We start from the raw sequence: 24,817 nt of genomic DNA, 5'->3' as shown, positions 1-24,817 counted from the left end.
AGGCTGAAGGAGGAGGAAGAGGCTTGTTCCTTCCTGCATGTTTTTTTGGGGGCTCCCTATTTGCCTCTTTTTCATATGAGTGGCATCCCACCAATGCTTCTTCATCTTGGCAGCAGCAGTTCCTTCCTGTAGCAACAAGTGAACCCAACTGACAGTATTTCTAAATGCCGTATCTCCCCCGGAGATACTATCAGCACTTTCTACTCAGAAGTCTGAGCTTCATTTCCAAGACAGCCCTTCTCCAAGCTCCTAAGCTTTAATAAATCCAACCTCTTTTCTTGATCCCACCCAATCACAGAGCAGTAGCAGTTTTCTGCAGTTCCTATTTCTGTGATCTCAAGTTCTCTTTTAGCTACCTCATGAACAATTTAATACCTAGTTAATAATTCTTTAGATTAAATTCTCTCTGCTAAAATAACTGGTGTAGCTTCTGCTTCCTGACTGACCCTTGACTAATACAGTAGGTATTCCGACCTATTTCCTGATTCTAACAATAGTTGCTTTAGGTATTTGCCTTTTAACATTACGGTTGCTGGTTTTGAGTTTTTGGCTAATCACTGCTGAAGTTTATCAAATGTGTTTCTTGTGTATATTTATAAATACATATATTTTCCTCCCTTAATAGTTAATATGATAAACTAAATATATCTCATAATGTTGACTCATCCTTATATTCCTGGAATACATAACTAATAGTATAACACATATGTAGTACTTACTACATATGTCCTAAAACTGTATACATATGTATGTATACATATTCCCTTAATAAACCTATATAGGTTTATACAGTTTATAAATACAGTTATAAATACAGTTTATAAATACACTTATAAATACAGTTTATAAATACACTTATAAATACAGTTTATACTTATAATTAATGTTAATGTTGCCAAATTTGCATTACTAAATATTTATTTAGAACTTATATTCATAATTAAAATTGAACTATACTTAGAATTTTCTATCTTGTACTATTATTACTTGTTTTCTACCTATCTGATCTCCTCTGTTGAATTTAAAGATTATTAAAAGTCAATGCCTTACTGATATTTTTCTCTTACAAAGTCTATATTATAGTATCTTGCACAGAGCACGTGATTGATAATACATGTTGAATGAATAAACACAGGTAATAGATATGAAAGTAAGACTTTTAAAAAAATTAGCATTTATTCTGTAACATAAAATTCTAATTTCATACATTAAAAGTATTTGTAAGGAATAAAAATACTTAACGATAGATAAATTTGGTGTTCAATTAGGTTTTTCTGGGCATATGTGTTCATTTCAGAACTCGGAAATCTTTAAAATTAATGTAGATCCTGTTTCATTAAATGTCTCTTCACAGAATTTTTAAAATTCTCCATTTAGTTAACAGCAATAATTGCTTTTGTATACTTAAGAGTTACTGTATTATGTTTTATGACACAGATTATATCAAAATCAGTTCTTTTTCCAAAAGATTAAAGAAAAATTAATAGAAGGTATGCATCAAGGATTCTTAACGTATAAAACCATTTTCAACAGAATGCTTTTTATTTAAGTCAAAATTGGATTTCCATGGTTTGGGGCTTGAGGGTTTCTAAGGTTTTGCTCCTGCAGATTCAAGACTTGTACTAGACATCAAAGGTTATCATGTTGCCCTTTCAAGACACTAGCTAAAGGAATTGGCAACTATTTACAATTTAGCTTTGCTTGAGTCCTTCCCTTCAAAGTAGCTATCAATATGTCTTTGTAATTATGTTTAAGGACAAGACATGTTCTTATTTATTTCAGTGTGTTTTAAAAATTGTATTTTAAGGACCTTCTGTGAACACAGCACAATACTGGGAGACAAATAAGAAAAGCAAAAATGTATCCTCTACTACCAAGGATCTTACAATACAAGGGAGAAACCATATGCAAACCCAAATTTTATATTAGAAATAACAGTATAGGACAAGTATTGTTTTCAGTCCCAATGATACTAAAAAGAAAAATCCATCAAAATGGAAGGAATAGAGTGCTTATGGGGCACTCTGAAGGTTTTTTTTTTCTATTTGTTTTTTGTAGTTTTTTGTAGTTGTTTTAATTCCAGATTCTAATTTCATGTGATTGGGGAGGTAATAATTGGCCATTTATGATCAGGATAACAAAGAACATTTTTCTCATATCCTCAGGCATGCTTGGAAGCAGTAATGTAAACAGTAATAATGGGAATTATTTTACTTCTTATTTTGAAAATAAAAATGTAAATATTTGTTTTTAAACTTCCTTACAACCCTAAGGTTTATAACTGTAATGTTTATTATAAAGAAAGATTACTATGTATCATTATTACTGGAAGACAGTAGTTTTACAAAGCCTGGGTTGTAATTATTTGAGAAAACATTATTTTTGAGTTTATTATATATCCTAAAAGTAACATAAAATATATTTTATCAGTTCATTTCAGTTTATGTACCTCCACCTATGTGGTTTCAATGTGTGTGTGTGTATCATACATCTGATGATGTCAAAAATCTACAAAAAGTTCTGAAAACCATGCAATTTTAATGAAACTCATCTAAACTTTAGAAGTAAGTGAGGGTATAGAACTATATAGTGAGGGTATAGAACTATATATATCGTGTGTGTGTGTGTGTGTGTATATATATACCTATATATTAGGTATAGTTTATATTACTATCCTTTTTTTTTTTTTTTTTTTTTGAGACGGAGTCTTGCTGTCACCCAGGCTGGAGTGCAGTGGTGTGATCTTGGCTCACTGCAACCTCCACTTCCTGGGTTCAAGCCATTCTCCTGCCTTAGCCTCCCGAGTAGCTGGGACTACAGGCATGCGCCACCATGCCCGGCTAATTTTTGGGTGTGTGTATTTTTAGAAGAGATGGGGTTTCACCATGTTGGCCAGGCTGGTCTTGAACTCCTGACCTCAAGTGTTCCGCCTGCCTCGTCCTCCCAAAGTGCTGGGATTACAGGCGTGAGCGACCACGCCAGGCCTACTATCCTATATTTTTAATCCCAGTTTTTACTTTTCTTCTCTGTATAGATCCTTCTTATCATTGGTTTTCTTGGATGACGATTTAATGACAAGGAAAAAAGAAATACATATAGTTTGCAGGTTGCTAAGGGACACAAACATCTATTTTAGGGAATTAAAATGGCAACTTGGGGGAATTTTGTTTTCTTTTTCATTAGGTTTATTAAGAAATATAAGTTTTACCATTCACATCAATTATGTTATATTTAAAAATACTAGAGTTGGCAATTTTAAAAATCCACACTTTTTAAAATTAAAGAAGATGTTTGCAAGGAAAAAAGAGAGAAGACCCAAATAAACAAAATAGAAACAAAAAAAGAGACATTACAACTAGTTATCACAGGAATACAAAAGATCGGCCAGGCATGGTGGCTCATACCTGTAATCCCAGCACTTTGGGGGGCCGAGACGGGTGGATCACGAGGTCAGGAGTTTGAGACCAGCCTGGCCAACATAGTGAAACCCCTCTCTACTAAAAATACAAAAAAAAAAAAAAAAAAAAAAAAAAAAAAAAGCCAGGCATGGTGACAGGCTCCTGTAGTCCCAGCTACTTGGGAGGCTGAGGCAGGAGAATCACCTGAAGCCGGGAGGCGGAGGTTGCAGTGAGCGGAGGTTGCAGTGAGCAGAGATTGCCTCATTGCACTCCAGCTTGGGGGACACAGCAAGACTCTGTCTCAAAAAAAAAAAAAAAAAGAAATACAAAAGATCATTAGAGACTATTATGAACAATCATGTGCTACAAACTGGAAAACCTAAAGGAAATGGATAAATTCCTGGATGTATACAACCTACCAAAATTGAATGAGGAAGAAATAGAAAACCTGAGCAGACTGATAACAAGTAATGAGATTGAACCAGTGATTAAAAAGTCTCCCAACAAAGCAAAGTCCAGGACCAATGGCTGCATTGCTGAATTGTACCAAATTTATAAAGAAGAGCTAACCTCAATTATCCTAAAACTATTTCAAAAAAACTGAAGGGCCAGGCGTGATGGCTCATACCTGTAATCCCAGCACTTTGGAAGGCCGAGGTGGATGGATTACAAGGTCAAGAGATCGAGACCATCCTGGCCAACATGGTGAAACCCAGTCTCCACTAAAAATACAAAAATTAGCTGGGCGTGGTGGCGGGCGCCTGTCGTCTCAGCTACTCAGACCCAGGCTGAGGCAGGAGAATCACTTCAACCTAAGAGGCGGAGGTTGCAGTGAGCCGAGATTGCGCCACTGCACTCCAGCCTGGCGACAGAGTGAGGAGGAAATTCTCCCTAACTCATTATCTGAAGCCAATATTACTCTGATACCAAAACCAGACAAGGGCACAACAATAAAAGAAAACTGCAGGCCAATGTCCCGAATAAAGATAGACGCAAAAATCCTCAAGAAAATACTAGCAAACTGAATCCAACAGTACATCAAAAACACACCACGATCAAGTGGGATTTATCCCGGGGATGCAAGGATAGTTCAACATACACAAATTGGTAAACATGATACAACATGTCAATAGAATGAAGGACAAAAACCACACAATCCTCAGTAGATGCAGCAAAAGCATTTGAGAAAGCATTTGATAACATTCAACATCCCTTCATGATAAAAACTCTCAACAAATTAGGCATAAAAGAAACATACCTCAATTTAATGAAGGCCATATATGACAAACCCTTAGCTAACAGCATACTGAATGCGAAAAAGCTGAAAGCCTTTCCTCTGAGAACTGGAACAACACAAGGACACCCACTTTAACCACTCCTATTAAACACAGCATGAGAAGTCTCACCAGAGCAATCAAGTAAGAAAAAAAAAAAAAGATAAAAAGGCATCCAAACCAGAAAAGAAGAAGTCAAATTTTCCCTCTTTGCAGATGACATAATCTTATATTTAGAAAAACCTAAATACTCTACCAAAAAAGTCTTAGATCTATCTGATAAACAAATTCAGTAAAGTTGAAGCACACAAAATCAACATCCAAAAATCAATAGCATTTCTACACACTAATAACAAATTATATGAAAAAGAATTAAGAAGGATTCCATTTACAATAGCTACAAAAATAATAAAATACCTAGAAATCAATTTAACTAAAGAGGTGAAAGAACTTTACAATGGAAACTACGAAACACTGATGAAAGAAACTGAAGAGGACGCAAATGAATGAAACGCCATCCTGAGCTCATTGGTCAGAAGAATCAATATGGTTAAAATGACCATACTATCAAAAGCAATCTATAGATTCAACGCAATCTTTATCAAAAGTCCAATCTAATTTTTCACAGAATTAGAAAAAAAATCCTAAAATTTGTTTGGAACCAAAAAAGAACATAAATAGCCAAAGCAATACTGAGCAAAAAGAACAAAGCTGGAGGCATTATGCTACCTGACTTCAAAATTTCTTTCTTTCTTTTTTTTTTTTTTTTAGCCAGAGATTTGCACTTGTTGCTCAGGCTGGAGTGCAATGGCACAATCTCAGCTTACTGCAACCTCTACCTCCCAGGTTCAAGCGATTCTCCTGCCTCAGCCTCCCAAGTAGCTGGGATTATAGGTACGCATCCCCATGCCCAGCTAATTTTGTATTTTCCTAGTAGAAACAAGGTTTCACCATGTTGGTCAGGCTGGTCTCGAACTCCTGACCTCAAGTGATCCACCCATCTCGGCCTCCCAAAGTGCTGGGATTACAGGCATGAGCCACTGTGCCTAGCCCAAAACATATTTCAAGGCTATAGTAACCAAAACTGCATAGTACTCACATAAAACAGACACACAGACAAATGGAACAGAATAGACAACCCAGAAATAAATCTACATATTTACAGTCAATTGATTTTCAACAAAGGTGCCAAGAACGTACTTTGGGGAAAGGACACCTTTTTCAATAAGTGGTGCTGGGAAAATTGGGTATCTATATGCAGAAGAATGAAACTAGACCTGTATTTCTCACTATATACAAAAATCATCTCAAGATGGGTTAAAAATGTAAACGTAAAACCTGAAACGATAAAACTATTAGAAGAAAACAGGGTAAACACACTAGGACATTGGTCTAGGCAAAGATTTCATGCTAAGACCTCAAAAGCACAGGCAACAAAACTAAAAATAGGCAAATTAAACTACATAAAACTAAAAAGCTTTTGTACAGCAAAGGAAACAATAAGCAGAATGAAGAAACAAAAATGGGAGAAAATATTTGCATATTTCTCCCTATTCATCTGCACTATTCATCTGACAAGGGACTAATGTCGAGAATATACAAAGTACTCAAACGCAACAGCAGGAAAAAAACAAGTAATACCATTTAAAAATGGGCTAAGGACAAGAATAGACATTTCTCAAAAGAAGACATACAAATGGCCAACGAGTTTGTGAAAAAATGTTCAATATCACTAATCATCAGGGAAATGCAAATCAAAACCACAATGAAATATCGTCTTACCCCAGTTAGAATGGCTATCATCAAAAAGACAAAAAATAACAGACAAACTGGCAAGGATATATAGAATAGGGAGCTCAGACACTGTTGATGGGAATGTAAATTAGTACAGCCATTATGGAAAACAGTACAGAGACTTCTCAAAAACAAACAAACAAAAAAATGGAACTACCATGAGATCTAACAAACCCACTAATGGGTATTTATACAAAGGAAAGGGAGTCAGTATATCAAAGGGATACCTGCACCCCCGTATTTATTGCAGCACTGTTCACAATAGCAAAAAATATAGAATCAACTGAAGTGTTCATCAACAGATGAATGGGTAAATAAAATGGAATACTATTCACACAATGGAATACTATTCAGCCATAAAGAATGAAATTCTGTCATTTGCAGCAATAGGGATGGAACTGGAGGTCATTATGTTAAGTGAAATAAGCCAGGCACAGAAAGATAAATATCACATGTTCTCACTCATATGTGGAAGCTAAAACAGTTAATCTCATGGAGGTGGAGAGTAAAATGATAGTTACCGGAGGCTGGGAAGGGTGTGGGATGGGAGGGATGAAGAGAGGTTGGTTAATGGGTATGAACATACAGTTAGATAGAAGGAATAAGTTCTGATGTTACATAGCAGAGTCAAATGACTATAGTTAACAACAATGTATTGCATATTTCAAAACAGCTAGAAGAGAAGGCTTGAAATGTTACCAACACAAAGAAATAATAAATACTGGAGGTGAGGAATACCCTAAACACCCTGACTGGATAATTGCATATTCTATGCATGTAACAAAATACCACATGTGCCCCATAAGTATGTACAAATATTATGTATCAATAAAAAATTAATTAAAAAAAAGAAAAAGAAGAAGTTTGTTCAAAGTTTTCTTACTAGCTCTCTGGAATGCCAACCAAAGGATGAAAACGTAAAACATACACTTATTGTTAATATGTTGTTAAAAGCCCCTTTAATGTATGGCTTAGGGACTGCTCAGTTTTCTCTACAGTTTATTTTTTCATTTTTAAAATTTACTAGTTTGATTTTTTGTTGATTGTTCAAAAAATGTTATTTTTGCATACAAAAAATGTATAGATGAAAGGAAGAAAATTATATCAAATAAATAGTAAAAAATTACTTTGGATGCTTTGCTAGTTTTAAAATGGAAGTTGATACTTCAGAGCTGTCAAGGTTTTTTGTGTTTTGTGTGTTTTTATCAAAATCTCAGATTTCATTAGAACTATTGAAATTTGAAGATGGTCCTGAATGGAAAAAGATGGAAGACAAAGGTGAAATCAACTAATGGAGAAACTTTAGCAAATGTCTCAGTTCCACAACAACATCTTTCCTGTTTCGAAAATGAGTCTTTGCAGGTGTGTTTCCTATCTTGCTTTCTTGCTCAAGAAGAATGTTTATCATTTTCTGAATTTACCAGCAATTGGTGTGTGCTGAGGGCTCATTTATTACAAAATGTCGCTAACTCACTCCTGTCCTCTTAAATTTAAAACAGCTGCTACCCACTGCCAGGATTTAAATCTTCACAGACAGATTTCCAGACTCTCTGTATGCCTGTATTACATTTTTGTTAATAATAATCTCTGTTCATCAAGGTGACAAGGGGACATTGTGCTTCTACGCACATATTTTCTCTGTCCATATATAAAAAACTAAAGCTTTCATTTTGTTAATACAAAGCCATGATTTAACGTTTTAAAAAAACCACTGATTGTTGGTGCCATTTGAAGCACTACAGTTTAGTTTTGCTTCAAGAATCATAACTTCCAACATTGTTCCCTTCCCATGGAATTATTTTTTTTAATATTATCTCTGAATTAGAATAGCTCATTTACTGAGTGAAAGTAGCAGAGGGATCCCAACTAAATGTTAAAAGACAGAGCAGGCCGGGTGTGATGGCTCACACCTGTAATCCCAGCACTTTGGGAGGCCGAGGCCGGTAGATCACGAGGTCAACAGATTGAGACCATCCTGGCCAACATGGTGAAACCCTGTCTCTACTAAAAATACAAAAAATTAGCTGGGCATGGTGGCGGGTGCCTGTACTCCCAGCTACTTGGGAGGCTGAGGCAGGAGAATCACTTGAACCCGGGAGGTGGAGGTTGCAGTGAACCGAGATTGCACCACTGCACTCCAGCCTGGCAACAGAGCAAGACTCTATCTCAAAAAAAAAAAAAAAAGACATCAAATTTGGAAAAAGAAACTTATGCTGTAATTTTAAATTGGATTATAATTTTGTTTTTCAGATTAAATTTTCACAATTTGGAATTTACAGTCTTGTCAACATTCATTTGTAAAGAAAGTATAATTTTGAACTTTTTCAATGACCACTTCACTGTCTTAAAATATATGAAAATATGGGCCAGGCATGGTGGCTCAAGCCTGTAATCCCAGCACTTTGGGAGGCCGAGGCGGGTGGATCATGAGGTCAGGAGATCGAGACCATCCTGGCTAACACAGTGAAACCCCGTCTCTACTAAAAATACAAAAAATTAGCCAGGCCTGGTGGCGGGCGCCTGTAGTCCCAGCTACTCGGGAGGCTGAGGCAGGAGAATGGTGTGAACCCGGGAGGCAGAGCTTGCAGTGAGCTGAGATCATGCCACTGCACTCCAGCCTGGGCAACAGAGCGAGACTCCGTCTCAAAAAAAAAAGAAAAAAAAAAGATATATATATGAAAATATTAATTTTGACATAATCACTAAATTCTTGGATTTTCAAAGATATCATTTTCATTTTACTTTGTTTTTTACATTGTTACCTTATCAGAAAGAAATAATTTTGTTTCTTCCCATTAGAGTTCCTTCTGGAACAACTGTTCAATTTCTATAAAGAGAGAGCAATCTGTTTTGAAAGATGCTAAAGATTACGTTCATGCATAAGATAAATCACTGAGACAGTAAAAGATTCAAAAGGTACTTCATGTTCTACCAGAGTGAAATCCAAATCATTCTTCTCCACAGTGAATTCATGGTTTCATGCAAGATAAGATCTCATCCTGTTAAGGACCTTATCTTTGAAGAAAAAAGAACATAATTTCTCAAGGGAACTCCAGTATCGTAATTCACAAAATCAAAGATATTAATATACACAACTTTTATTTTAAAATAGTCATCCAAGGCTTTGGAACCTAGAGTATAAAGTATGGATGGTAAATTGTAATACTGCATAATAAAATAAATATGGAGAAGTGAAAAAATAATTCTAATTACTTAAAAGTTTTCATTCTGATGAATAAAATTAAAATGCCCAGTAATCCTTAATTAATACATTTAGAATCCCTTCCTTAGTGATGAGAATTAATTTTGCAATTTAATTTGACACTTTACGGTGTGAAAAAGAAAGATAAAAAAATAAGCCTCTTGGGAATGGAAAGAAAATTTCCAGTCTCTCACCAGCCAACCCAATTTAATCAGGTCTTTCTCTTATTTTTTCTGAAATCATTCATGTTTCCACACCTAGCCCTTTCCATTCCCTGTGTTTTATAAACAGAACTAGCTTTAAAGATCTGGGGTTTGGATTTCATTTTGTCTTGAAATGTATACTTAGATTTGCTGCTGGTCAACATGGTAGTCCATCATCTCAAAGATTTTTTAAAAATAGACTCTAAAAGAAGATACATGGTATTCTAGATATAAGATACCAGGAACTAAGTACGGCACAAATTTCCAAATGTTTAATACTTTTAACAGTGTCCAGCTTATCCTGGTGTTTATTCATTCATTATTCATGCATTTATTCATTCATTCACCAAAATTATATTGAGAATCTACAATGCACAGAAGAGAGCATAGGGCCAACGATATAAACTCTACCTAGAGGCACTCATGGCTTAGTAGGAGGGTCAGGTACATAAATAAGTTTCAATTTTAGATGGTATTACAAATTATACAAAGAGTTGTATGGTGCTATGGGGAAAAATGAGAAGACCTCCCAGAGCAGGTGACACCTGATTCAAGCCTTTAAGAAAGAACAGAAGGATAAGCAGAAGGTGGGAAATTTATCCTTGGCAGACAGAAGACCATATGCAAAGAAATGGGGATCAGGGATTTGGGGATGCAGATATGAGGTTGCCTGAAGGACAGAGTCATGGTGACAGAGGAAGCTGAGGAGAGAGAGAGAAGGATTGGAGCCAAACTTTCTGTGCCAAATTAAGGACTTAATACTTTAGTCTGTTCGCAAAGGGTTTTAAGCGGAGAAATGACATAACCAGCTTTAAGATTACAGCAGGTCAGACTCCCTAAGAAACGGTCTCTGAAACTCTGTGATTTGCATGCCGGAATTCATATGGGGAATAATTTTGGGGACAATATCTGTAAGGAAGCGAAGAGAAGCAGGGAGGGAAGAAGAAACACTGGGCTGCCATGCAATATATATGTTTTTTTTTTTTCCTGGTTCCCATTCCCCGTCCTTGGGGTTGTATACAAACCCATAAACAATGGGGAAGAGCCTCTGGTCTTTGGTGCTGGTGGCTGCCACGCCTGGTCATCCTAGCCCACAGGCCCATGTAGTCCATTCACAGACCTGAAGTCTCATGCCTCTGAGTCAGATCTGGCCTCAGGATTGTCTGTCCAGAATCCTAACCTGGGCTTTCTGAAGTCCAGCTCTCCTGGGCACACATACTTCTTATGGTTCTGTATACAAGTGAGTCATTGACAAAACCTGCAGTGTGTGTGAACCCACTGGTAACTCATTTTTTTGAGACAGGGTCTCACTCTGTCGCTAATTTTTAACAAATTATTTTTCTAGAGAGGAGATCTGGCTACATTGGCTATGCTGGTCTCCAATTCCTGGCCTCAAGTGATCCTCCTACCTTAGCCTTCCAATGTGCTGGGATTATGGGCATGAGCCACTGCACCCAGACATGCAATGGTTCTTCAAGTATGGATCCTGGACCAACAGCAGCACCTGAGAAATGCTTTTAAAGTTTGTCAGGTAGCCCTAATTTACTGTTTTTATATCTAGAATCTCCACCTTACAATCTTGTTAACAACCTCCACCTCCTGGGCTTAAGCAATTCTCCTGCCTCAGCCTCCTGAGTAGCTGGGATTACAGGCACACGCCACCACACATGGCTAATTTTTATATTTTGAGTAGAGACGGGGTTTCACCATGTTGGCCAGGCTGGTCTCGAACTCCTGACCTCAAATAATCCACCTCCCTCAGCCGCCCAAAGTCCTAGGATTACATGTGTGAGCCACCACATCCAGCCTAAACTCTACTAAAAGTAAGTTTCTAGTTAATTCTTAAGAGAAATTACCAATCTAATCTCTCAACTAGCTGAGAAAGGATTCTTGGAGCAGGTAGAATTTAAGGAGTTCAAGGGCAGAATCTTCTGACCCTTCTCCTTCCTACAGGCTGGGGGATCACCAGAGCTAGGCTGAAATCCTGGTGATTTTGGGAATGTAGATCATGCATGACCAAGCAACAGGATGGAAGGAGCCTGAGGCCCAGGCCTCACCCTGGGCAAACTGATCCTGGACCACCTATATCCAGACATTCTTAAATAAAATAAGCTTGAATCATCTTGTTTAGGCCTGTTGTCTTAGTGTTCTCTCATTCACTAAGAAGTTATCCCAACTAACATTAATAATACCAATAGTAGCACATATTGTATGACTAGGCAAGAGACTCTCACCATAATAACAGAAGAATTAGATACCCACATTCTGTGCAGCCTTGGAGTTCAGTTTTAAATGTAATCAGAAAGTGACTGCTATTACCATTTGTGGCATAAAATAAAATGTGAACATGATAGCTAACAAACATTCACCTCCCTTCTCTCATGTGTTATGTGAGAAGAGAGGGCCCCAGGGAAAGAAACACATGGGACTCTTAGCTAGGTAGGACTGTGTGTTCTGTGAGTGCCATCAACACAACATTATACATGCAGGGCCACACTGGAAACCCAATTTCCTATTTTACACTTCAACTTTATTAAGTATTTTTCTCTTTTGTTTAAATAGCAAAAGTTGACACCTTAACAGGTAATTCCTAATGCACAAAAAGTTCCTTCTCCAGAAGATAGATATAAAAATTGTGAAAAATCTATTCATAGGGGCAAATGTAACTATTAAAAATCATGAATTCATGTACAACATTAATGAATTTCTGGGCAAAGCTGTTCATTTTGCAGGTTTTATGATCATTCTTAAGCTGGAGGCTTAAATGATCAAGCTCTTCACTTAAGAGTCATCATAAACTCAAGGGCCTTCAGGAGCCAGGCAGATAGGTTAAATAATACCCAGTTGGGGTTACAGGAAAATGTGGAACATCTGTGCCTTTGAACCAGGCAGCCTCATTCCAATAATAAATGCCCTGAGTGAGTGGGGGAACAACACTGTCAGAGCTTCTGATTTTTCAGAAAAAGCCAAAATACTTGTGATATGGTTAGGTTTTGTGTTCCTACCCAAATCTTATCTTGAATTATAATCCCCATGTGTCAAGGGAGAGACCAGGTAGAGGTAATGGAATCATGGGGACAGTTTCCCTCATGCTGTCCTCCTGATAGTGGGTGAGTTCTCACGAGATCTGATGGTTTTATAAAGGGCTCTTCCCCTTCGTTCAGCACTTCTTCCTGCTGCTTATGAAGAAGGTTCTTGCTTCCCCTTCTCTTTCTGCCATGACTGTAAGTTTTCTGAGGCCTCCCCAGCCATGCAGAACTGTGAGTCAATTAAGCCTCTTTCCTTTATACATTACCCAGTCTCAGGCAGTTCTTTATAGCATCCTGAAAATGTACTAATACAACTTGCTTTTTAAATGTGTTTTCTGATATTCATTTCAAAATTTAAAAAACACAATATGAATCAGACCAAACACCTCTGAGAGCTGAGTGCCACCTTCCACTTAAACTCTAAATGCAATTAGACTTGAGTTTGCAAAATCAGATTTTAAAATTTTACTTTGTCATTAATATAACTGCCTTAATGGATTAAAAATGGCCTGAACCAAACATGAAGGATGGAAAATAAATGACAATTTGTCAAGCAGAGAAGGAACCTGCTGAATTAATTGCCAAGGGGAGAAATTACAGGCCTTTAGAGGCAGATAGAACTTAACTGGGATAAACTTCAGAGAAGTTGTGACTTTGTTTTCACAGGCCATTAAGGTCTTGGGGACATCCATGAGTTTTGGCGACAACAGTAATGACTTTTGACTCCTAGATTCTACCCACCCATCACCCCATTGGGTGGATGACCTTCCTTCTTCAACTGGATTAAAGAAATTTGTAAAATTCCTTTTTATTGTGCCAGAAACTGTGCTTGGTATTAAGAACACAAAGTTGAGTAAATCGGTGTCTGTCTTCAAAGGATTCATAGCTGAGGGGGGGCAAAAGAAGCATAAACAATTATAATATGTGTTACTCAATCTAAGGTGCTACCAATTATAAGAAACCATTAGTTTTTTTTACCTCCTAAAATTAAACTATGATATTCTTCAATTTCAAGATGAATTCTAATTTCAGAGATACTTCAATGTTAAAAAAATAAGTGTGTTTAAGTGAAGAAATACTGTATGCGTTATAGGAGAAGTTGTGTTGAAGAACAGGGAGAAGAAATGATCTGACCACCTGGGCAAAGCAGGGAGATACAGTAAAGTTTGTAAGGGGGAGTCAGATTACTTTAAGCAATGTAACTATCTTAGTACGCTTGGGCTGAGGCTTAAACAATGGAATTTATTTTCTTACAGTTCTAGAGGCTGAAAAGTTCAATATCAATCAAGATCTTGCAGATTTGGTTCCTTGCTGAAGGCCTTCTTCCTGGCTTGCAGATGAGTGCCTTCTCACTGTGTCCTCACATTGTGGCGAGAGAGAACTCTGCTTCCTCTTTTTCTTATAAGAACACCAATCCTATTGGATTAGGGCCTCGTCCTTATGACCTTATTTAATCTCACCTCCTTAGTTCATTTGTCTTACTATAATAAAATACTATAGGTAATTTATAAACAAATTTACTTAGACACAGTTCTGGAGGCTGGGAAGTCTAAGATCAAGGCAGCAGCAGACTGCCTTGTCTGGTGAGGGCTGCTCTCTGCTTCCAAGATGGTGCCATGATGTTGCATCCTCCAGAGGGGAGAAACACTGTGTCCTCACATGGCAGACAAGAAAGGATGAACTCCCTCTATCATGCCTTTTGATAAGGCACCTAATCCCATTCACAAGGGCTCCACCCTCATGACTTAATCATCTCCTAAAGGTGGCTCCTCTTAATGCTATTACATTGGTTATTGAGTTTCAACACACATTTGGGAGGGGACACCAATATCTAAAGCATAGGACCTTCTAAAAACTCTGTCTCCAAATCCAGTCACACTGGGAGTTAGGACTTCAACACACAAACTGGGGGGTTGGGGGCAGAAGAGACACCATTCAGTCCACAGCAGTGACCCATGGCTTTGGGTCTCACTTTTTTCCCTCATATGCAAAATAAGATAATAATAGTAGCTACCTCATAGAGTTGTGAAGATTAAAAGATTTCATATGGAGTGCTCTGTGACGTCTTAGATCTAGTACCAGTTTAGTAAAGGCTGGCTGTTATCAGCAGAGGTAATTAATGATAGAATTTGAACTCCAAGAATCAGTAGACCTTCGCCAAGGGCTAAGAAAGCAAGCAGATTCCAGGGAAGAACAGAATGCCTAAAGGACTGTTTCTGGAACATTCTGCCTGTCTGCTATGATGTCTTGATGTAGTTGGCGAGGTTTTTTTCCCTTGAGGAATTAAAAATCTTTTTTTTTTTTTTTTTGAGACAAAGTGTCACTCTGTCACCCAGGCTGGAGTGCAGTGGCATAATTATGGCTCACTGCAACTTCAACCTTCCTAGGTTCAAGTGATCCTCCTGCCTCCACCTTCCAAGTAACTGGAACCACAGGTGCACACCATCATGCCCGGCTAATTTTTGTATTTTTTGTAGAGATGGGGTTTGCCCAGGCTGGTCTTGAACTCCCGGTCTCAAGCTATCTGCCTGCCTAGGACTCTCAAAGTGCTGGGATTACAGGCATGATCACCGTGCCTGGCCAGAAATCTTTTTGGTATCTTTTCTCCTGTACCTTCTTCCCTGTTCTCCAATCCCAATACACGCACAAGGACAGTTTGGTTCTTTCCGTTTTACAGTCAGAAGCATGCTCCAGGCCCTGTACTCAAATCAAGAACTGGGCTTCTCAGAACAAGGACACAGGTTCCTTGTCTTTCCATTTCCCTCCTCGCTTCCCTCCACCCCTTCTTGTTGGGGACAGCCTTTGTCTAACATCCTTTGTTTAAGAGAATTAATTGCTATCCCCCAGTGGCTGTCAGTGTCTTTCAGGAGACCTCATGTAAATAAGGCTCCAGGTGGCCTGCTCTGATTTCCGAGTTACCAGAGGGATAACATCCTGTTAGGACATTCATCAAGGATAACATTTAGTGAGGCCCAGAGCAGTGACTCATGCCTGTAATCCCAGCACTCTGGGAGGCCCAGGCGAGAGGATTGCTTGAGGCTAGGAGTTCGAGACCAGTCTGGGAAACACAGCCAGATGTCATCTCTATGAAAAGTAAAAATAACCAGATGTGGTTGTGCATGCCTGCAGTCCCAGCTACTCAGGAGGTTGAGGTGGGAGAATCCCTTGAGCCTAGGAGTTCAAGGTTATAGTGAGCTATGGTCTTTCCATTGTACTCCAGCCTGGGCAAGAGCCTGTCTCAAAAATAAATAAGTAATATTTAGTAAGTCTAACCCCATTTGAGGCTTGCAGAAGTTACTGGACTTGCCATAAAGTACCCAGTTAATAACAGAGCTGGCCCTGTTCAGTGCTTTACTATGTTATGCTGCATTGCCATTCAAAATGACTTGTCTCCTAAAGGAATTTTCTCATCAGAATTATTTCTATTGACAGTATCCCCTTTTTAGAAAATAACTAGCATCTTGAGTAAGAAAGCTACCCAGTCTTTGAATTCGAGTTCATCCATCCATTCACCACGCATTCCTCTACACATATTAACTGATAATCTATTTGGGATACTACATGTAGAGGATTCGAGGTTAAGACTCACATTTCCCCTATTCTCACAGAGCTTACAGTCTAGGAGAAGAAGCAATTAAAATAATTTGCAATGCAGAGAGCCAAAGCTGCTTAGGGAAGGCTTCTCAGAGTCAGTTCCTGCAAAGTAGAGACCTAAAGGATTGGGGAGAATTAGCTAAGTAAAATGATGAGGGAAGGGAGGTGATAAAATGAGATGAAATACTGTGCAAACTGTGTAACTGCAGACTTGTAAGACTGTTATTAAACAGACATCCCTCCAGAGCTCTCCAATCTCTGTCCCAGGTCTTCTTCCAGCAAAGTCTCTATCTCTGCTCCTTTGGCAGAATAAGCCCCCTTTTAACCTGTGTAACTCTTGTTTTATAGATGGTTATTTTGTTGTTATTAGTATATTCTTGGGTTTGAGTTGGAGACAAGGGCCTATCTCTAATCAGGAGTGACCTGATTTTTATGTCAATTACCTGGGAAGAGATCATCAAACCAGATCCTGGGACTTAAGAGAGGAATGTAAGGGGATTGCAGAATGGGATTTTGTTTCCCTTGGTCTTGATCCTGAAGGATAAATGATGCATGTTAGTTAGGCAAGGCGTGGTTATAATAGTGTTTTTCAAATTTTTTTTGATTGAAATCCATAGTATGAAATACATTTAACGTTGCAACCCAGAATACACACATGTGGCTGAAAGTTTCCCCTAATTTGTGTTGGGAAAAAAATACCCTTATTACATGTGATACAATCTGATATTTTGTATTTTGGATTCTGATTAGTGTTTTTCTGAGTAGCTACCCTTTAACCGATCACAAAATCAACTTACTGGGTCATGATGACCACCTTAAAAAATCAAATAAAAGCAGTCATGCAAAGATGGGATGGAAAACAGTGAAGAAGATACCCATACACTGTGGTCAGTATTTTAGAGCTAAGTCCATATTTTGGACTTCCTAAGTCCCTCTGTTTCTTGCATAATTTGTGCCTGGTTGTATGAAACTTGAGACAGATTAGTGGTTATGGCTGTGGGTTCTGAAGTATGAAGTCTGGAATCTTGACTGTGTTACTCAGCAGCTGTGTGACATGGGCACTTAACCTACTTACCTTGTGTTTAAAATGGGGATAGTAACAGTTCTTATCTAGTTGCAAGAATTCAAGGAAATAATGCAATGCTTGGCACAGAATCAATACTCAGGAAATATTAGGAATTATATTTCTTTCACTTTTATTTTCCCCATACATTAAGTACTCTGTTTTGTCTTAATTCAGCTTTTCTTAGCTTGCTAAGCAGGACCAAGGGAAGAGATGTGTGTATTGACATAGAGGGCTCTGGAAGCCAGATTGCTATGGGCAGCAGATATCAAAGAGAAAGAATCACAAGGGGGAACTGAAAGCCCAAGGGCCATAGTGGAGGGCCTCAGTGCTTCCAGTGCTAAACCTCCAAGGTCCAGGGTTTTATTTTCTTTAAAAAAGCAGATCCTCTCTTTAATAACAACACTTTTGGCCCTAGCTTCTCACTTCCTGTCTAGGTCAAATTCCAGTTTGTTACAGAAAGTTGACTGAACGTGAGTGGTATTTTCCCACAAATTTCTACTTGACATTCCTTGAGACTGTGATCCTTGCTTGGGTACCTTTACTGTTGGCCATCTTTTGTTCACTGCGTTTACTTTTTTCCTGCATCTAGCAAAACAACGACTTTTTTTTTTGAATACCTGAGATTTCAAGAGAAAGTATACTGAACAATACGATGAGAAGACTATATTCTACAATGCCATCTTTCAGAGGCAAAAGTATCTATAGTAAAAACATTTGATACATTTGGTGTATGCTTCTTACCCATTTCCACTCCAAAAAATAACAGATGACATGTACCTGTGAAACACTCCCATAAGGTATACCTAGAAACTCACTTAAAAAAATTACGATTTTTAGAAATGATATATATAAAACATTTTATAAGCATGTAAACTATTAACAATTTAAAGGTTTCTTAAAATTGTTTTGCAAGGAAAAACATAAATATCACTGTTTTAAAAATATGCAGGACTTTAAAAAATGTTAATTTTTCTATACCTCTGCTCTACAGAAAAACCTTATTGTTACAATTATGGTACAGCCTTTACAAATTTCTTTTACATCATTTGATAATAACTAATATTCAGATAAAATATACAAATATTTTTTCAAATCAGAACATTTAAAAACACTGACGTAGATTTTTCTGGAATAATAAACGTTTTTATTTTTAACCAGCTCAGATCTCGAATTAAAGCCTAATATTCCCATCATCACTCTTTCCTGTAAAAATAAGACAGCACTTTCAATGAGAGTGGAAATAAACCATTGTTTCAGGTTTTACTTACAACTGGAGCTGCCTTGCAAAATCCCTGCCCTGGCCATCTGCCGTGGTTCCAAATAAGTTTGTAAAAGTGAATCTTGCCATTTTCAATACTTCCTCCTTTGGGTCTATTTATTCCGAAGTCTGTTTTTCTCATTCTTTTAATTTTTTTCCCCCCAAGACGGATTTGTCTGAGACACTTTTTTGCCATAACATTTGTTTTTTCTGCTTACGAGAGTGTAAGAATTCCACAAGCCAAATGTTAATATTTTGTTGTCAGTTCTTTAAGCCTTCATTTTTTCCGTCTATCGAGCCCTTTTTTTTAACCAGAACTCATTGCTTCTGAGAGTATAAAAGAGCAAAGAGGCCGGGCGCGGCGGCTCACACCTGTAATCCCAGCACCTTGAGAGGCCGAGGCGGGCGGATCACGAGGTCAAGAGATGGAGACCATCCTGGCCAACATGGTGAAACCCTGTCTCTACTAAAACATAAAAATTAGCCGGCTGTGGTGGCGCGCGCCTGTAATCCCAGCTACTCAGGAGGCTGAGGCAAGAAAATCGTTTGAACCCGGGAGGCAGGGGGTACTGTGAGTTGAGATCGCGCCACTGCACTCCAGCCTGGGAGACAGAGAAACACTCTGTCTCAAAAAAAAAAAAAAAAAAAAGTGGGGAGCAGAGAGCCGGACTTGGACACGGGAAGGTATCGTGACATGAGTGGGTCGGGGGCTGGAAAGTTTGCCCAGGCGAAGAAGTGAACATGTTTATCCGGATCACCGTTTGTTAAATGAACAGCAACCCATAGGTAGCTTCACCGAGCCGAAACGGGAAAGGCGGCAGGCAAGGGAGAAGCTAAAATCTGCAAGAAACGGGCTGGGCTGGAGGCGGCGCCAGGGCAAGAAGGGCAGGTGGGGGCCCGCGGGAGCCGGGAGCCAGGGGCGGGAGCCGGAAGGGCGGGACCCAGGGGCAAGGCCTAAGTGGGCGTGGGAGGGGCATAGTCAAGAGATGGGCGGGGACTGCTCGGGGTCTGGGCGGAGTCTAGCGGGAGCCGCGTCGAGCCGGGGAGGAGCGAGGGACCCTGGGAGAGCTGTCTTTTCAGGGCTGAGGACCCGCCAGCACCTGATGGAGAGCAAATGGCTGTTTCCACACGTGGAGAACTTTTAACGAACACGTGAGGAAGGCGGGCAATGTCTGTGGAAAAACTACCTCACAACCCAGGCGTCTTACTCCAGCCCCCAGGGCGACAGCTTGTTTACAGTATTTCTGAAGGTCTCCGTCCCCTTTTGTCGGCCCCTCCTCCTCCTCTAACCCCGACTTCAGGCTTTGAGTGAGGCTTTGGTAGAGCAGTCGCCGCCGCAGGCGCCCCGGTCGGCGAAGCCCACAGGCATGCGGGCGCAGAGGCCGTCTGCGCCTGCGCGGGGTGTCTGCTACGGGGAGGTGCGTGGAGCTCGAGGGCGTGGAGCTCGGGGGCGTGTCTCCCGCCGCGGCGCCGGGGCGGGGCGAGGGCGGAGCCTGGGGGCCCAGCGGCCCGCGCCCCGTGGCTTGACCTCCCCGACTGCTGGGCCCGTGACGTCACCCCGCTGTGACGCGCACGCTGTAGGAAAACTGTAAGTTTACGAGGATTCCTGCAGCTCCTAGGGCTTGCGGGGCCCGCTGGCAGCTGGCAGTCCCGGCGGTGGTGGTGGCTCTGGGGGCGTCAGTTCCTTGGGGAGTCGCCGATTGTGGCGAAGGGACAGGTGTCTGCTCAGAGTGGCAGCGCGCCCTGCTGGGCGGTAGGGACCTGGGGTGCGGGAGGCGAGGCCGCGCCCCGTGGGGCCGGGCCAGCACCTTTTCCCCTGGGGCGGGGCGCGTCTCCGAGCCTGGGAGCGAGGCCTTAGAAGGGGCGGAAAGTCCAAATGGAGAGTCCCTTTTTTTCTTCCGTGATAAAGGGACTTAGATTCCTTTTCTTCCCCCTCTCAGCCTTGGAGTTTGACATGTTAAGTAGGGGATGGAAGCTTCCTCTCAGAGAATAGGAATCCTATGTCCTGGCCGTTGGGATCCCACAAGTGACCAAGTCATCGTGGACACATTTATAAGATAACCAGTTGCTGCCTCAGTTTTCTTTTTTGTGTAAAAGGGAGGTACAGCAGCCTCTGGCCTCCCTAATGGTTGTTCCCACAGCACTAGGAACACGTGAGATAACACAAGTGTGTAAATTTGCTAGGAGAAAGCTTATACACAGACACTTGGTTATTCTGAGGAATGTGGTAGCCACTGGCTATTTGACCAGGAATCTTGTAGAAGGGGAACTTTTTCACTGTTTTGCCTCCCCCCGACAACCTTCCCTCCATCTGATTCTATACCACACTGGAGCCTGTTGGGTGATCGAACTGTTGTCACTAAACTTGATAGAATGGGGATCCCAAGAAATAACAGGTATCGTTAGCACGGTACTCTTGGCAATTACAATGCCCCCGTTGTCTGGGTTTTGCAGAGGAAGCTTTCAGTGTGCTGGAACTAGCACATTATAGACAACACAGACTCACTGAGTTTTAAGGATTGCTGTATCGATTTGGAATATCCAATCATCGTATCTGACTGCTTGAATATTTTGGTCAAGGGGTACTACATTATCGATTAGTTATTACTAGACTATAATGCCTCTCAAACTCCGGGACTAGTAGTCTTCAGGAACTTTGAAGGGAAGAATACTGTGCACACTTCAGGGTGTATTTATACAGGAGCTCGAGAGTTCACATTTCTGTAAATTCATTTCAGGAGTGTGATATCTTTTCATCCAGGTAGGAAGAGCCTTTGAATCAGAAAGCAGGGCTTCTAATTTTTGTTCTATTCGTTAACTAGCTTCGTGTCCAAGGACAAGTCACGCAAACTTGGAACTTTGTTTTTCTTATCTAAAATGAGAGCCGATGGTTTATCTGTTTGTTGGTTTTTCCAGGATCAAATGAGATCACGAGAGTGCAAATGAAAGGCTAAGTGTGCTATTGTTATTAGGAGATTCGCATTGGTCCCCTAGCCTGGATGAGATGTGAGTCAGAAATCTCTGGAAATAGAGCAGCAAAGAAGACAGCCTCCAACCTAGCAGGGCTCATATTGCAGTGGGAAATAGACAACGAACAATACGTGCATAATGTAATTTCAGGTAGTCATAAGTGCAGTGAAGGGAAGGAAGAAAGGAGGACAGTGGGGGAACAGGGAAGGTTGTTTTTGGTGGGATCTGTCAGGAAAAGCCATTCAAAGGCAGGGACACTTGAAGTGTGAGGGAAAGAGCCTGAGGTAAGAACATTTCAGAGAGGAATAATTAATAGCAATGAACACTTAAAAAAAGTAGAGCTTACCATATGTAAGGCACTATTCTGAACACTAAATTAAATTTTTACAAGTCTTTTGATGTAACCTAGTATCTCCCTTTCATAGATGAGGCAACTGACACACAGAAAGGTTAAGAATTTGCCAAAGTTGCACAGCTAAAACGTGGTAGAGACTATTTGAACGTGGGCAGTCTGACTTCAGAGTCCAGGCTCCAGGTGACTGTATTTTCGGCCTCACAGCAGGAACAGCACAGGACAATGCTCTGAGGTGGTCCAGACACAGTGAGAGTGTTTAGAGCACAGCCGGGAACGGGGAAAGTAGTGGCCAATGATGGTCAAGGGCCAGGCAGGCCGTGGGGTCCCTTGTAGGCTGTGGTGAAGTAAAGATGTTGTTCTAACTGTGATGGAAAACCATTGGAAGGTTTGCATCAAGGGACTGGTGTCTGATTTAAGTTTTATTGTATGGAGAATTAACTGTAGATTAGAGTGGGTCGGATGGAGTGAAAATCGGGAGAAAGCTGCTGTGCCCTGCAGGTGAAATGATGGTGGTTTGGGCTGGGGGAGGTTAGTTGTGGAGATGATGGTAGGCGGTAGAATTGGTGATACGTTTTGAAGGTAGAGCTGACGGGAAACGAGCTGATGTGGAATTTGAAGAAAAGGGAGAAGTGATGATTTTTTAGGTTTAGGCTGGAACAACTAGAAGTATAGTGGTGCTGTTTACTGAGGAAAATTACAAATTTAGTTTTGCACAAGTTCTAAATGCCTGTTAGACATAGTCATAACAACAGTGCTAGTAAAAATAGTATTATGTAAGCGTAAACTGAGTCCCAGGCAGGGTTTTAAGTACTTTAACCTATATTAATTCATTTAATCATCATAAGAATTATATGTGCAAGGAACCATTATTGTCCCCATTTTACAGCACGAGAAAATAGAGGCAAAAAGAGGTTATAAGTGACTTGTCTGAAGTCACCCAGCTGGTGAGTGATGTAGCTAGGATTCAAACCTAAGCATTGTGGCTTTGGAGTCCATGCATTGAATCCCTGTAACCACCTCCGAGTGAACATGTTGAGTATGCATGCCTGTGAATATGGAACTCAGGGGAGTGGTCAGGGTTGGAGATACCCATTTATTTTTCTGAAGAGAAAGCATGCTTTTGTTTTTCATCTAAGCTTTGGTTGTCTGTGGGAGAAAGATTATAGGCAGTGGGACTGTGCTAACTGGTCTTTGATTACGACCTGACTGGGTTCATGCAGCCAGTATCTGGTATTCCCCACTGTAGGTTCCGTAGGGGCAAGGTCTGTCTCTTTGACTTCTCTATCTCTAGTCCCTAATCCAGTGCCTGCTGTGTAGTAGATGTTAGGGATGACTTTATATAATGGGCATTTGGTTAGGTTTTGGAAGTTCAGAGATGAATAAAACAGTTCTTTACCTTAGAGGAGCAGGGTATGAGGAAAAACCTGTGGGAATAAAATTAGAGTAGACTAAATGCATAAATACATGCCGATTAGTTCATTTGGGTTTTCTGCACCCTCCCCTCCCCAGCTTCCATGACTTGTGAGATGGGGCATGAAAAGGGCAAAGGGGCAAAAGAATGCCTAAGCTGTTGCAGGATGAAGTTGAGGCTCCCCAAGAGTCCTTTTCAACAAAAGAATTACTCAAAATCATGCATATTTTACTATATTTGCATTAGCTTTATTTGGCAATGATAGAATTTTTACCAAATGAAATAAATTCTGATATTTGACTGTCCTTTTGAAGTGATGAGTTTTTCCAGTTCTATTACCTCAGTGTTGACAGGGCTCACCAGAGAAATAAGGGAGTTGGCTTGAAATGTTGCAGCTTGCATAATAGAGGGTGATGGAGGGGTTGGGTGAAGTATTCAGGCAGGTTTCCACCGGTTTAAGTGTGTCATGCCAAAGTTCCACCTATTGGAATAAGTTTGAGTTTCTTTGCTGACCATCTCTAACATTGACATGTATTTTTTTTTTGTCATAGAAAGGGGATCTGGTGATATATATTGTAGGTGGAATTGCAGATTACATCTCGTATAGCTGGATCATTGTAGAACATGGAGACTAGAAAAATACAAACAAAAAAAGATGTGTCTTGTTCCCGTAGATCTTTCATGGCATACCATAACCTCAACAGTTGTCACAATTTTGTTACTTCCTAACATGAGTATTTCAAATTTAAACCATGTAAGAATTATATAAAATTGCACTGCCGTAGATTTTATGGTTAATTTCAGAATTTTTAAAAATATATAAAATTATATTTTGTTTTAAGCTTTCATTGGGAAAGTATCTAAATAACCAGATCTATGATTACTCTAAACAGAAGCCCTCTACTAACGTAAATGTAGAGGGGTGCCATCTCATTTTGCAGTTCACAACGTTTTAAATCTGCTCTTGTAGCTTCCCTACATTTAATGGAGTTGAAATGATTAGTCTTTATTTACACCACATTTGCAGTTAGTTTCCCAGGAACATCAGATACCCATATATGGTATAAAGTAAAATTGCATAGTCAATAGCCTATTGATGCTCAGGTGTTATTGACTTTTAAGTTCAGGCACAGTGAGGGCAGGTTGATGGTTATTTAATTGTGTCAGGTAGCTCCCAGCAGAGGGGGAGTGATGGTAAGTTCTATCTGAAAACAACAGGACCCTCTGTTTCTAACACTGACCATGCGAAATATAACATCCTAG

The 24,817-nt window shown here is 39.8% G+C and overlaps 1 protein-coding gene and 1 long non-coding RNA gene across 43 annotated transcripts in view, besides 2 other annotated features; one reads left to right on the top strand and one right to left on the bottom strand.

The window, feature by feature from the left end:
• The window catches only part of LOC105376481 (uncharacterized), a 123,422-nt gene extending 103,691 nt beyond the window's left edge, over positions 1-19,731 (bottom strand). For 2 of the 3 annotated variants that reach the window (XR_001747410.3, XR_001747409.3), the window contains exon 1: positions 16,938-19,731. This is a non-coding gene — a long non-coding RNA (uncharacterized LOC105376481). The remainder of the gene's footprint in view (positions 1-16,937) is intronic. The other variant, XR_930796.3, reaches the window with a different exon arrangement.
• Positions 12,912-13,112: a silencer, noted in NCBI's record as "peak918 fragment used in MPRA reporter construct". NCBI's record gives its function as "represses an SCP1 promoter by STARR-seq MPRAs in K562 erythroleukemia cells {active_cell/tissue: K562}" and the evidence as "EXISTENCE:reporter gene assay evidence [ECO:0000049][PMID:32103011]".
• Positions 19,732-19,827: 96 nt separating the features above from the next.
• The window catches only part of ZNF438 (zinc finger protein 438), a 187,780-nt gene continuing 182,790 nt past the window's right edge, over positions 19,828-24,817 (top strand). For 34 of the 40 annotated variants that reach the window (NR_170659.1, NR_170660.1, NR_026560.2 and 31 more), the window contains exon 1: positions 20,374-20,406. The gene's annotated coding sequence lies outside the window, so the exon portion shown is untranslated. Of the gene's footprint in view, positions 20,237-20,373; positions 20,407-24,817 lie in introns of those variants that run through there. The other 6 variants (XM_024447871.2, XM_011519372.3, XM_047424729.1 and 3 more) reach the window with 5 other exon arrangements.
• Positions 20,153-20,712: a silencer, noted in NCBI's record as "silent region_2271". NCBI's record gives its function as "represses an Ori minimal core promoter by ATAC-STARR-seq in GM12878 lymphoblastoid cells {active_cell/tissue: GM12878}" and the evidence as "EXISTENCE:reporter gene assay evidence [ECO:0000049][PMID:35858748]".

Source organism: Homo sapiens, chromosome 10 (genome assembly GCF_000001405.40).
Source record: "Homo sapiens chromosome 10, GRCh38.p14 Primary Assembly".
Classification (NCBI taxonomy): domain Eukaryota; kingdom Metazoa; phylum Chordata; class Mammalia; order Primates; family Hominidae; genus Homo; species Homo sapiens.
The sequence above is the reverse complement of the archived record's forward strand: the minus strand, read 5'-3'. Positions and strand labels throughout refer to the sequence as shown.